At 39.4% G+C, this 14,014-nt stretch overlaps 1 protein-coding gene across 14 annotated transcripts in view, besides 1 other annotated feature; it reads left to right on the top strand.

The window, feature by feature from the left end:
* Nucleotides 1-979: 979 nt before the first annotated feature.
* Nucleotides 980-14,014, top strand: part of RAD21L1 (RAD21 cohesin complex component like 1) — a 29,833-nt gene continuing 16,798 nt past the window's right edge. For 5 of the 14 annotated variants that reach the window (XR_937124.2, XM_006723602.3, XM_006723604.3 and 2 more), the window contains exons 1-6: nucleotides 980-1,076; nucleotides 3,358-3,533; nucleotides 4,816-4,945; nucleotides 6,462-6,555; nucleotides 9,021-9,127; nucleotides 12,980-13,150. Coding sequence is in view for 13 of the 14 variants with exons in the window: in XM_006723602.3 (XP_006723665.1) it covers nucleotides 3,390-3,533; nucleotides 4,816-4,945; nucleotides 6,462-6,555; nucleotides 9,021-9,127; nucleotides 12,980-13,150 (646 nt within the window). In the remaining variant the exon portion in view is untranslated. The other 9 variants (XM_006723603.3, XM_047440371.1, NM_001136566.3 and 6 more) reach the window with 8 other exon arrangements.
* Nucleotides 1,192-1,241: a silencer, noted in NCBI's record as "silent region_12587". NCBI's record gives its function as "represses an Ori minimal core promoter by ATAC-STARR-seq in GM12878 lymphoblastoid cells {active_cell/tissue: GM12878}" and the evidence as "EXISTENCE:reporter gene assay evidence [ECO:0000049][PMID:35858748]".

A 14,014-nucleotide genomic window follows, 5' to 3' on the forward strand; every position in this document is an offset into this window, starting at 1 on the left:
GGCCTTGACTACTGAGAACTGTGATATTCCAGGCTGGAAAATATTTGCTGTCCCCAAAGGGCAGGTCAATGTGAATAATCTTTTTAATAATAACAATAATAATAATAGCTAATATTTGTAGAGCACTTATTATTGCTTGGCTCTTTTCATGGTTCATTTTATTTATTTCTTACAATATCCTACGGCGCGAGTACTTTTATTATTTTCACTTTACAGATGAGAAAATCTGAGGTTCAAGGGATTAAAGAATTTCTCCAGTGACCTCCAGCTATAAGTGGAAGAGAAGAGACTGGACTGCATCATAGGGATGTTCAGAGATCAGCCAGAAAGATCACCTTTCACAACAGGACTATGGGGCCCAGGCCCCATCCCTGTCATGCCCCTGCTCAGGTGTCTCAGGTCCGAGCGCCAGGACAAAGCCGGAGACTGCGCACTAGGACCGGTGCGCCTTGCTCACTGTCTGACTCTATCCCTCCTGCCCCGTCCACTGTCCCCACCAACGCCCTGCGCCCTCGTCCCTCTCAGTCCCGGTCCTCTCCACTCTAGCGCACTGCCCTACTCTGTCCGTACCCCCAGCCGCCGCCGCCGCCGCCGCGCCCAGTCCCTCGGTCGCTGGCCCGCCCTTCCCCGCCCCCTGCCCCCGGTCCCTCAGCCACTGCCCCGCCCCGCCCGTCCATACCCCTCCACGCCCCTCCCCATGTCCTGCCCGTCCCTCTCCATCCCCTGCACGCCCCGCCCCTCGCCCACTGCCCCGCCCCATCCCCTGTCAGTCCCGTCCATCGCCCACTGCCCCGCCCCGTCTCCTGCACGCCCCGCCCCGTCCCCTGCACGCCCCGCCCTCGCCCACTGCCCCGCCCCGTCCCCTGCACGCCCCGCCCCTCGCCCACTGCTCCGCCCCGTCCCCTGCACGCCCCGCCCTCGCCCACTGCCCCGCCTTCTCCACGCCCCGCCCCTCCCCGCCCCGCGCCTGCCGCGCATTGCAGACGCCCAGCGGCGCCAAGAACCCGGCCAAGCTGACTTGGCGACTCCTCGCAGCCCCTGCTCTGGCACGCCACACCTCAGACGAGGCTTTGAAAGTAGGGCGCAGCCTGAGAGGCCGGCCGGACCCCGAGTGCTGTAGGCGGGCTGGGAGATGGGGGCCGCCGCCACCCACATTCCCACACGCACCCGGCGCCGGCGCCTCACGCCGTGTTAGCTCGCGGCGCCAAGCCCGGAGGGTCCCGCCTGAGGAAGAAAGGTCGTCGCCCGCAGCCCAGCTGGGGCTGGAGGCGCGACCCGGGGTCTCCTCGCCCGCACGCGGAAGAAAATGGGCGCTGTGGCCTCAGTTTCCCTCTGTGAGCACCCGGCCCGGAACTCTGAGGAGTCGTCTGTGGAGGAGCCTTTGGCGTCCCCCTGCCCCTGAGCGTGGCCGTCAGCTCTTCCCAGCCCCTGCACTTTGCTTTCCCCTCCCTCACGCCCGGAAGGGTCTCGCCCTGCCCGGCTCAGCCCTCTCTCCCCACGCCCCTCTCCCAGGGTCCCCGCCCGGTCCCCTTCCGACCCCTTCCTCCCTCCCTTCGCTCCCTCCCCGCCACCGCCGCCACCCTGCCCTTTGCGGGCCGGTTTCCACGGAGTGGCCCCATCCCGGTGGCTTCACGTTGCACGAAGTCAGTTCAATCTGGAGACTGAAAAAGCCTCCGGGACGTGGGGCGGGAGGGTGCGGGGGGAGTTTGTGTGCGTATTTTGTGGGGAGGGGAAAAAGGTTAGGTAATATGTGCTCGGGAAAATCAATGTCTCAGGAATAGCAAATCTCAGGGTTTGGGTTTTTTCTTTGTTTGTTTTCTCTTTTAAGAAGTCCATCACTTAAAAAGTACATTTGATTTTTTTGAGACGGAGTCGCCCTCTGTCGCCCAGGCTGGAGTGCAGTAGGGCGATCGCGGCTCATTGCAGCCTCCGTCTCCCGGGTTCGAGCGATTCTCCTGCCTCAGCCTCCCAAGTAGCTGGGATTACAGACGCCCGCCACCGTGCCTGGCTACTTTTTGTACTTTTAGTAGAGACGGGGTTTCACCATGTTGGCCAGGCTGGTCTCCAGTTCCTGGCATCAAAGTGATCCGCCCGCCTCAGCCTCCCACAGTGCTGGGATTACAGGCGTGAGCCACTGCGCCAGGCCAAAAAGTACATTTTAAAAGTACCTCACACCACTGGGAGCCATTTAAAAAGATAAATAGGAATTTATTCCGAGAGAGCGAAACACACAGACTAAAAAGGAAAGTAGTGGAACCAGCGCAAGGTACAAGCCATATGCATTAAAATCTCCAGCTGCCCCGTAGGGGAACATGGTTTGGCGGATTGCGTCACCTTTAGTTGGGGCATAATGATTGAATTCTTGCGGTACAAATAGACACTGATGGAAGTTTACCTAAGTTTTTAATTCTTTCGCCGACTTTGTGTTCGTCTTGGCTCAGTTTTCTCTTTTATCAGTATCTTAAGTAGAAAAGAAGCAAAAAGAAGCTTCCATAGTGGCAGTGTAAGATTACTTATATGTAAGCAATAATTTGATTCTTCCCTAGAAGTCAACCAAAGTGCTATAACATCCCTTCTCATCTTTAGCTTAGTGATAGAGCCCTATGGTGTTACCAAGAATAGTACAGTTTGTAAAAATGTGCATTAATTCCTTCTCTTTGTTTTAAGTGAAGGTTTTCTTTTATCGTTCTTATTTCAAAACATTTAAATTTGATTCGTGTTTCTTCCCTTGCCTTCTAATTATTTTCTTATAGTTTCTTGTTTTCTTCATTTTTCCACTTTATGGAATGGAAACTCCACTCCACTCCACTTTTTGGAGTCCCGTGATTTTAACTTCAAAAATTAAAATATTGTTGAATAAACCAGAGTATCTTGAAGAGGGCAATGAAATTCAACACCTGCGTATAAATCAATAATCCAATCCTTCTTAAATTATTAAGTTTTAGAAAAGAGGTGCCCTGTATTAGCTTTTCTTGGTTTTGTCTACCTTTTCCTATTCTTGTTTCTTATTTCCATATCTTATATTTTCAGCCTTCCTCCTTTATTTGACCATGTTAGTAAGAAGAGAACTCAAATCCTTTTTTGGATAAAATAAGTGACATGTATGAAGAAATCATTAATCAGGATGCATTTAAGCCCGGTGTAGAGGTGTAGTTCACAATTTACTAGAGCTTTGTCATTAGGTTATAATTTTATATTCTAAATAAGTTTCTCTTATTTACAAGAGAATAAATTGTATTGAATAATTGAATTAGAACATAATCTGAATGTTATTTTGTAGAATTAATACATATTTTTCTTATAGCAATAAAAAGTTTTTGTAATAAAATTTTAAATTTCTTTTCGTGTTCTCTCTAGTTTGTTAAATACAAGTAAGGAACACAGGCAACATGTTCTACACACATGTGCTTATGAGTAAACGAGGGCCATTGGCCAAAATATGGCTTGCAGCTCACTGGGAGAAGAAACTCACAAAGGCCCATGTATTTGAATGTAATCTAGAGATAACCATTGAAAAAATTCTTTCACCCAAGGTATGTTACTGATTAAAATGATAGCTTGTATTTATCATGACTTTGGAGGAGGAAAGACATTAAGATACACTTATATCATGAAATACATTTTCAAGGAAGTTTTACTTGTCAAATGGTCTTTCCTTTAATTCCTATAGCATTTAGTGTTATAACAAACCTATTGGTTTCTGTTGGTAATTAACTTTTTCATATGTCTATCATAGATAGATTGGACCCTAAGGGACAAAGGCCATATTTTATGCGTATTCATATTCCTTTCTTATTCACTAACAAAATACAGTTGACATAGTAAGTACTTAATAAGCATCTCTTAGAAAATAATGAACAAATGGGGAGGATAGAAAGAGGACTGGTTATAAATCCAAAAATATGTGAAAATGTGTCATAAACAGTAAAGTACTATGTTCATTATAAAACATTAAAACAGTGATTAGAATTTGCATTACAGCATTTAATATTGTTTTAAGTTAAGTATTTTTCAACTTTAGAGAAGGACAAATTGAAAGCCTATGGTGTGTTAGGCACTGGGCTGGACTTTATGCCTATAAGTCTATTTAATCTTTACAACAACCCTATGAGGTTGGCTTTTCTTAGCTTCTGTGAACTGTAGTTAGCATGTTTTGAGTTGGTCAAATTTATATTTAATTATTGCTTTATCACTTAATATGTTACTTTGGGCATCCTACTTAAAATATCTGAGTCTCAGTTTTTTCTTCTGTAAATAGAGGTTGTTGTCAAAATTAAATAAATTAGTGTATCAAAAGCTCTTAGGACAATGCCTGGCATAAAATAAGTATATAATAAATTGTAGGGAGGCTGAGGCAGGAGAATTGCTTGAACCCGGGAGGCGGAGGTTGCAGTGAGCCAAGATTGCGCCACTGCACTCCAGCCTGGGTGACAGAGCGAGACTCCGTCTCCAAAAAAACAATAATAATAAAAAAATAAGCTGTAGCCATTTTTATTAAACTGAAGTTCAGGAAGGTTAAGTGACAGCCTCAGCAACTGAACCAAGACCTGAACCCAATTCTGACTACAGAGTTTATATTCCTCTCATAATACCAATAATAGTATACTTTACTTAAATGCCATATTAGATTAACTTCCTTGAATAAGAATAAAAAAATCATTTTGCAAGGTAAGGTAAAAAGTGATATACTTTAACTAAGAATACAAAATATCTGCTTTTTTAAGAGAACCAATTCTTACGATGTCAGTAACTTTCAAAGAATAGGATTTATGAACCTAATCTTTACTCTTCTAATACTTCAAAAATTATTGAAAGGTGAAAATAGCACTTCGAACTTCAGGACACCTTCTTTTGGGAGTTGTTCGAATCTATAACAGGAAGGCAAAATATCTTTTGGCAGATTGCAGTGAAGCATTTCTTAAAATGAAGATGACATTTTGCCCAGGTATACATGTAATATTGATTTGTCTCCTTCTTGGTTCCCTTTTGCATTTTAATTGGGGGTGGGATCTTTTAATATACTTCAGGCTAGTATGGTGAATGTAAACTTAGTTTTGAATGAATCTAAGTTTCCATGGTTGAGGATAAATTGTATTCATTTCCTTGCTCTTTTTCTATACCTGCAGGAAAAGGTTATGCTTTCCAAAACTTGTAATGTTCCTGCATATTTATGGAAGACATATACTTAAAGCCACTACACTTGCATAAGAAACTCTGATATTCTGTTTTTAATGGGTCATTTAGTTTGTCGTGCCTGTTTTTGCCTTTATAAGAGAAATTAGAAATAGTGTGATTGACAAAACAGAGATATCAGTAATTGTTTTCAGAATTCTCAAGATTCCAAGCAGCTTGCTATTTATGACATATCAAAAATTCCTAAGCATTCCAAAGTGCCAGAGATTTACATATGTCATAAATATAATACCTTCAAAATTTATATACCATCTGTTTCACTTTGAAGACATTTTTTATTTTCTACCTTGTATTATGGCTACTTAGGTATGGATCTTGCCTCTGTCACTAGTCTTCAAGCTTCTTGAAGGCAAGGTCTTTGTCATAATTATTTTCTGAATCTCTTATAATATCTGTCTCAGTGCCTTGCACATACCATTTCCTCAATCAACATTTGTTGAATCAGGATTGACAGATTTTTTTTAATCTTCTTCATTTAAAATATTCATATAATCTCTAGGTGGATTTATATTCATATCAAGTATGGTTCATTTGTTCGTTTATTATTTTTTTACATATTCCACAAATATTCATTGATTTCATACTTTGTACCAAACACTATGTTAGGCTCTGGGATATAAAGACAAACAAGATAAATAAGATCCTTTTCAGTCAGGTGAGGAAATCAGATAATTAAAGTATTTTTAAAACATTACAGTAATTGTAAATTGTAATTGTGCTATAAAGGAAAATAAAGTGCTACAACATAAAATAACAGAGAAGTTCACTTTAGTTAAAATAATTGGGAAAAGCCTTTCTGAGAAGATAGAATTTAAGCTCAGACTTGAAAAATGAGAACTACCCAGCCATGTAAAAAGTCCCTGAGGGAATAGCATTCTAGGCGGAGGAAACTGCAAGAGCAAAGGTCTTGAGGTGGAAAAATGCTTGACTTTTTCAGGGAACAAAAAGGCTAGTATGGTCAGTATGGTGAATGTCACTAGATGATGCCTCTTAGGTTTTTAGGGTTACAGAGGCTCCAATTAGAAATTTTGATTTTATTAAATGCACTGGAGAAGTCACTAAATCATTTTAAGGCATCTAATCTGATTAGTTTTTTAAAATATTACTCTGTCTGCTTTATAGAGAATGGACTACACAAGGGTAGGAGTAGATAGAGGAAAACTAGTTAGAATAAGCAGTAGTCCAGTAAAAGAATATAGAGTTAGTTGGGAGTTCTTTGTTTTATATAGCATTGTTGCTTATTGAGTATGGTTTTTGATCCTTTTCAGGACTGGTTGACCTTCCAAAAGAGAATTTTGAAGCATCTTACAATGCTATCACATTGCCAGAAGAATTTCATGATTTTGACACCCAAAATATGAAGTAAAATATTTTATTTATTTTCCTTCGATTTAATTTTCTTGATATTTGTTTTTATATTCAAATTTAATTGAGTCAAATGGAATGTAGTTAACAACTGCACAAGTACAGATGTAATTGATAAAGACTTATATTTGGTATAAACTCCCAAAGTACAACAACAAAAGTGTGTCATTTTATTTATTGAATATAGTTTGCAATATTGACAGTATATTCATCTATTCATTCAGTAAATATTCACTGAGTGCCTTCCATATGCCGGAAACTGTTCTAGGCACTGAGGAGATAGCAGTGAATTAAACATAGCTGCTGGCCTCATGGATCTTAAATTTTATTTGGGGTAGCTAATAAATAAACGAATAAATATATGTCAGGAAATGATCACCATTGTGAAGAGAAACAGAAAATGAAATAAATAAACAGTAAGACAGGAAAGGCTTTTCTGAAAAGGTAAGAACAAATCTGAAGGAGGTAAAGGAACAAATCAGTAATGTGGGGGAAGAATATTCTAGGAAGAGCAAGTAGAAAGGCCCTAAAGCAGGACACACTGGACATTTTCAAGGACCAGCAAGGAGGCAAGTGAGACTCTAGCGGAGTAAATGAGAGGCTGAGTGGTAGGAGATGAGGTCAGAGAGATAGCAGGAGACACAGATGATGTAGGGTGTGATATACTACAGCGGGACTTTTATTTTACTCAGGGAACACAGGAAGGTTTTGAATAGAGGAGTGACGGGATCTGACTTGATTTCAACATCATCCCTTTGGCTACTTACTCTAAGGGGAAAGGGAGGAATCAGAAAGCACATGAGAAAGTTATTGTAGTAAGAAGTCCAGATAAGAGAATGCAGTATCTATGATCAGTTCTCAGTCATCATCTCACCCAGGTGGTAGCAGTCAAGTTACAGATATATCTGGAAAGCGAAGCCAGGAGAATTTGCTGATGAATTGCATATAGCTTTAAGAGAAAATGAAGGATACTATATGATTTTTGGCATGAGAACAGACTTAACACTTCATAAGATTAGTATAATCAGATTTAAAGGGGGCAGAGAGAAGGAAGTAAACTAGGTTTTGCATATAAGTTTTGGGATGACTGTTACACATCTGTTATGGTCTAAATGCATGTGTTCCCCTAAAATTCATATGTTGAAACCTAACCTTCAAGGTGATGGTATTAAGAGGTGGGGCTCTGAAGCCAGAATGACCTTTTAGGAACAACAACAACAAAAGAGTTGGAAGTGATTAGGTCATAAGAGAGGTGATTAAGTCATAAGAGAAGTGATTAGGTCATAAGGGCTCCACCATCATAAGTGAGATTAGTTCCCTTATAAAAGAGACCTGTAGGAGTTTTCTTGTCCCTTCCACTGTGTGAGGTCACAGCAAAAAGACACCATCTATGAGGAACAGGCCCTCACCAGACACCAAATCTGCTGGCACCTTGATCTTGTACTTCACATCCTCCAGGACTGTGAGCAATAAATTTCTGTTGTTTATCAGTTACCCAATCTAAGTTATTTTATTCTAGTGGCCCGAATGGACTAACACAATATCGAAGGGAGTAGGTAAGTAGTTGACTCTCCGGGTCTGAAATTCAGGAGAGAGGTCTGAAGTGGATGTATAAATTTGCAAGTTGTGAGTGTATAGATGGAACTTCAACCATGGACTCTAAGAGATCCCCAAGGTAGTGAGTATACATTTAAAAAAAGTAAAGAGAGAGAGGGATCTGAGGACTTAGTATTTGGTCATTCCCAGTAGTTAGTCTGGGATATTAGGAACAGAAAAGGAGCAGGTAGGAAGAAAATCGAGAAATAGTGATACCTCAGAGGCCAAGAGAAGAATGTATTCCATGAGGAAGGGAGTTGTTTAGTCTGTTTGGGCTGCTGTAACAAAATACCATAAACTGGGTGGCTTATTAACAATAGAAATTTAGTTATCATCATTCTGGAGGCTGAGAAATTCCAGATAAACTTGCCAGCAGATTCATCGTCTGGTGATGGCCTGCTTCCTGATTCATAGATGGCAACCTTCTCACCGTATTCTCACATGGTAGATTGAGGCAGCTTCCTGGGGCCTCTTTTATAAAGGCACTAATCTCATTCATGGGAATCTGCCCTCATGACCTAATTATCTCCCAAAGCTCCCACCTCCTAATACCATCACATTGGAGATTAGATTTCAAAATATGCATTTGAGGTGAAGAAGACACAAACATTTAGGCCATAGCAAAAGTCAACATCTAAGTCAAGTGCTGTTTGTTTGTGCAAATAAGATAAGGGACTGAAAATTGACCACTGGATTTGGAAGCCTAGAGATTATTTATATACATGTATATATAATAAACTAGTGTTTATAAATAATACTATTGAGAAAATGAAAGTTGTTTTAGTTTCTTCACTATATCAATGATATTTTTACAGTATCATTGTTTTCTGTTCTCATGTTTTTCTCAACCTTCTATTTCTCCATAGTGCTATTGATGTTTCAGAACACTTTACTCAGAACCAAAGCAGACCAGAAGAAATCACTCTTAGAGAAAATTTTGACAATGATCTAATTTTCCAAGCTGAGAGCTTTGGTGAGAATATTTGAGAACTCAAAATTACAAATTATAATCAATTATATTTGTATTTGTGTATTGAAATAATGCCAGTAGACGTAGCTATAGAATGAATCTTTTGATGTGTAAATGTAATTCCCAATACATTTTTCCTTGCCTTTTTCTAGTATAGATGTCAATGCCAAGACTCAGTCTTAGGATATACTTCTATTCTCAGTGTATAACCATTTACTGAATACCTACTCTGTATCAGGTGCTATCAATAGACAGGGCAGTACCAAAATTTAAAGAAGCAGTTCCTGCCCTCAAGGAGATTCTGGGTGTGAGAGAGACACATAAATAAACAGTTAAGATGGTCAACATACATACAAGATTTTATATGTATGCTGCATGAAATGCCTTCAAAATATATTTCTTCTGGTATATGATAATATCAATTGTAAAATAATGCCTTTTAAATCAGCCTGGGGGTGAGGAAGAGGAAATGCTACCACACTAAATGTATATATTGATTGTGAAACAGAAACTGATTTTTAAAATGTTAAACTCTTGTTTGGGCAAGGCGATTGTACTTTATTTTTAAATTTTTTTTTTGACACAGGGTTTTGTTCTTGTCACCCAGGTTGGAATGCATGATCATGGCTTACTGAAGCCTTGACCTGGGCTCACAATCTTCCCGCCTCAGCCTCCTGAGTAGCTGGGACTGCAAGTGCATGCCACCACACTCAGCTAATTTTTTAAAACTTTTTTGTAAAGACAGGGTCTTGCTATGTTGCCCAGGCTGGTCTTGAACCTCTAGGCTCAAGCAATCCTCCTGCCTCAGACTCCCAAATTGTTGGGTTTACAGGCATGAGCCACTGTGCCTGGCTAGTGTACTTTAAAATGGAAGCAATATGGTGTAATTTAACTATAGAGTATTTGATCTTTTTTTCTGGCATCTCCTACTCCCTGTCTTATATCATGATATTTATACACCTCTTGTCTTGGTCTACAAACTCCATGAGGATAGAATCTGTGTAATGTTCATATTTGAGTTTCCTATAGTGCCCAAAACAATGAGTATAGGAGAAAGATGGCCTATGTCTATCTTGGTCGGGGAGGGGAGTCAAGAAAGTAATGCTTGAGCGACATCTCTAACCTCAGCTTCTCATCCTTACTCTGCTTCCGTAACTCTTGCCATATCTGTAGCTGTGTTTCTCAGCCTGTGGTGAAGGACCAGTTTTCTAATATTTGTCCATTTTCAATCTGTATTGTATTTTACTGTGTAAAATACAATAAAATGAATTATTAGAAAAATTAAAAATTTAAAAATCAAAATACAAGTCTTAAGTTTTGTTATTAGAGTCAACATATATAAAATTGCTCTGTCAAATTTCTGTAAAACTTTCTGAAAATGTGCTTTTATTTCTGTATTTTCTTTCTTGTGGACCAGTACCAGTCCACAGATTATACTTTAAGTAGCACTGATCTCTTACTGGCTATAACCCCAGACCCAGAATTGCAACACATTGGCAAAGAGGTAATCATATTCCCTACTCCCAAGACACTCTTTACAAATTCCCCTACTATTCTTATTTGGGCTTGAAACTTTAGGATCACTTTTTTTTTTTTTTAAATGGGGTCTTGTTCTGTCACCCAGGCTGCAGTGCAGTGGCACGATCTCGGCTCACTGCAACCTCTGCCTCTCAGGCTCAAGCGATTCTCCTGCCTCCGCCTCTGGAGTAGCTGGGACTACAGGCATGCACCTCCGCACTCGGCTAATTTTTGTATTTTTAGTAGAGATGGAGTTTCACCATGTTGGCCAGGCTGGTTTTGAACTCCTGACCTCAGGTGATCCACCCACCTCAGCCTCCCAAAGTGCTGGGATTGCAGGCATGACCTACCGTGCCCGGCCAGGATCACTTTTAACTATACTTTCTGTCAGCTTCATACTAGTGCTGGGTTGTTTGTTTGTTTGTTTGTTTTTTAATTCTGAAATGTCTCTTAGATCTTTTTTCTATTTCCTTAGCCAGTGATATAGTTCACCAGTACCAAAGACCTGGAGTACTGCAATACCCTCCTACAAATCTTCCTCCAGTCTCTTCCCACATTTTATACATCTTTGTAAGAGCAATTGTCTTTAAATTCCATTTTTGATATATCACATTCCTCTGCTTAAGTGCCTTGGGTCCCTATAACTTACTGTATCACATACTTCTACCTATACTCAAGGCCCTCTGCCAATTTATCACCTTCTTTATTTTATCAGCTTTGTTTTACTCTTAATGTGGACTTTTTGCTCTAGTCAAGCAAATGTCTTACCACCCAACAAATACAATTTAGTTGTTCACATTTCTGTATCTTCCTTTACAATTTTAAAAGGTGGGAAGAACATGTTCTTAGTAAATGGGCAGATTTGGGTTTGAATCTGAACTTTCTCTATTGATTTCCTGTGTGACACTGGGCAGATTGCCTAACCTCTTTGAGCCTTACTGTCCCTATTTGTAAAGTTGGGATATAACTAACAACATCATAGGGTTATTCCCCTTATTCCTTCCTTTAATCTTCTTCACCAATATGTGATTTTTCTCTTCTATAAAAACTGCTTCAAACCTAATGTCCTCTAAGAAATATTTAAAATTAATCCATCTTATTCTGGATTGTAATATAAGATCAAAGGCAATGATTATTTCTTTTATGTATTTTGTATAATCTGATATTCTTGTGATGTTCAATGCTGAGAATATAGTGTCTTCATAAGTCTTATTCTCTGATTGACCAACGCTGGCTTTTCCTTTGGGAGCTATCAAGCTGTACCTAGATGATATGAATACATTCTTAGTTTTTGAAAAAGTAATTTAGTCTTTTCTTCTGAGCAATTCTTTAATCCATTGTCATGATAGTTGTTTTTTTCCACTCTTCCATTCTAGAAGATTTAGGTCTATAGAAGAATTTTCAATATGGGTAATACTTCATGATTTTCTTTACTGTCTAACACTAACATGGGTTGTTAGAGGGAGGAGAAGACTAACCTTGGACCTCTGGGGTTTCAGACTCCTGGACCTAGAGATTCAAACCCAAGAGAGGGAAATAACTGATGTCTGGTCAAGAGCTGACTTCTGGTCCCCTGGAACTATCAGTGTAGTGTTGTGATTGTCAGGATGCAGGCTCTGGAGTCAGAGAGAGCTGGGTTCAGATCCTGACTCTTGTCATTTATTATAGTGTGACTGTGTGCAAGTTACAAAACCTTTCTGTGGATGTGTTTCCTCATCTGTACAATGAGAATTATAATAGTATCTTCTATTACATAATATAATACATACTATAAACACTCGGTTACTGTTAGCTGACTGGGTTTGTCTTTTTTTTTTTTTAACGGACCTCTATCACTGCCTCCTAGCATATTCGATATTTATTGAATGAATGTTGTAAGCCCATTCTTTAATATTTTACCTACGTTTCCATTTCCTGAGATGACTAACATGTTCCTTATTTTCCAAACCTCCACTATGCATGAACACTACAAGCAATTGTCCTTGAAATACTATGAAATATACTTGGTCAAGCAGAACTTACTTACCTAAAATAGAATAAATTATTTTCCATAGTACTTTTACCTTAGGAAGTTATTAAACTATATCACAACTATAAACTCTATGTAATATGTTGGCATTTTTTCCATTGTATTTGAAAGGGCATTAGACTAAAAATCATGTCTCTACTGATTGAGTGACCTTAGTTGAATAATTCAAGTAAGTCTTTCAGCCATTCTCTTCATCTATAAAATGAGGTGTTGGATGACAAGATTATGCTAGATGATATCTGAATTTCCTTCTAACCCTATAATTCTGTGTTTCTATGAATTAGTATTAATGATATATATTTATTTAGGGGAGGAATCTGAAATTCTCAGAAGACATAGCTTCTTTGATGACAACATATTACTGAATTCCAGTGGTCCTTTAATTGAACATAGTTCTGGAAGCCTCACTGGAGAACGATCTCTATTCTATGACAGTGGAGATGGGTTTGGAGATGAAGGAGCTGCAGGAGAAATGATTGGTATGCTATCTGGTCATGTGGAAATAAAATATTTATTTTCATCAAATTACTACAATATATTAGTAGATTTATTATATCAATCTAAAATTTCAAATATGTTTTTGTGTTATGTAGGTCAATACTTTTTTTTATACAAGTTTTCAAAGTCTGTGGCATGTTTAAACATTTAGGCTAGGCCTAAGTAAATAGCCGTCTGTTTAAATATATTTTCTATAGAGGTTATGAACTACTGCTTGTTTTTATTTTTACAAATTCCTAATTTTTGGAGGGGAGAGAGTGAGGTTAGTATATTCCTTATAAAATATACTAGGCTATGTACTGGAAAACATTGTTTTCTTTAACATACATTGTGGGGCAGCTAAGTTATTTTCCAGAATTTTATATTATTATTTTATATTTATATTCCCCTGCTTAAGGCCTTGGGTCCCCATGACTTACTGTATCAAATACCTCTACCTATCCTCAAGGCCTTCTACCAATTTATTGCCTTCTTTATTTTATCAGTTTTATTTGTTTTACTCTTAACATAGACTATTTCACATTATAAAATAGTCATAGAAATCGGGTAGAGAAAAACTAAGAAGTCCAAATGCACATGTTTTATTTATTATTATTATTATTATTTTTGAGACGGAGCCTTGCTGTGTCGCCCAGGCTGGAGTGCAATGGCACCATCTTGGCTCAATGCAACCTCTGCCACCTGGGTTCAAGTGATTCTTCTGCCTCAGCCTCCTGAATAGCTGGGATTACAGGTGCCCACCACAATGTCCAGCTAATTTTTTTTCTAGTTTTAGTAGAGATGGGGTTTCACCATGTTGGTCAGGCTGATCTCAAACTCCTGACCTCAGGTGATCCACCCGCCTC

This window comes from Homo sapiens, chromosome 20 (assembly GCF_000001405.40).
Source record: "Homo sapiens chromosome 20, GRCh38.p14 Primary Assembly".
NCBI lineage: Eukaryota > Metazoa > Chordata > Mammalia > Primates > Hominidae > Homo > Homo sapiens.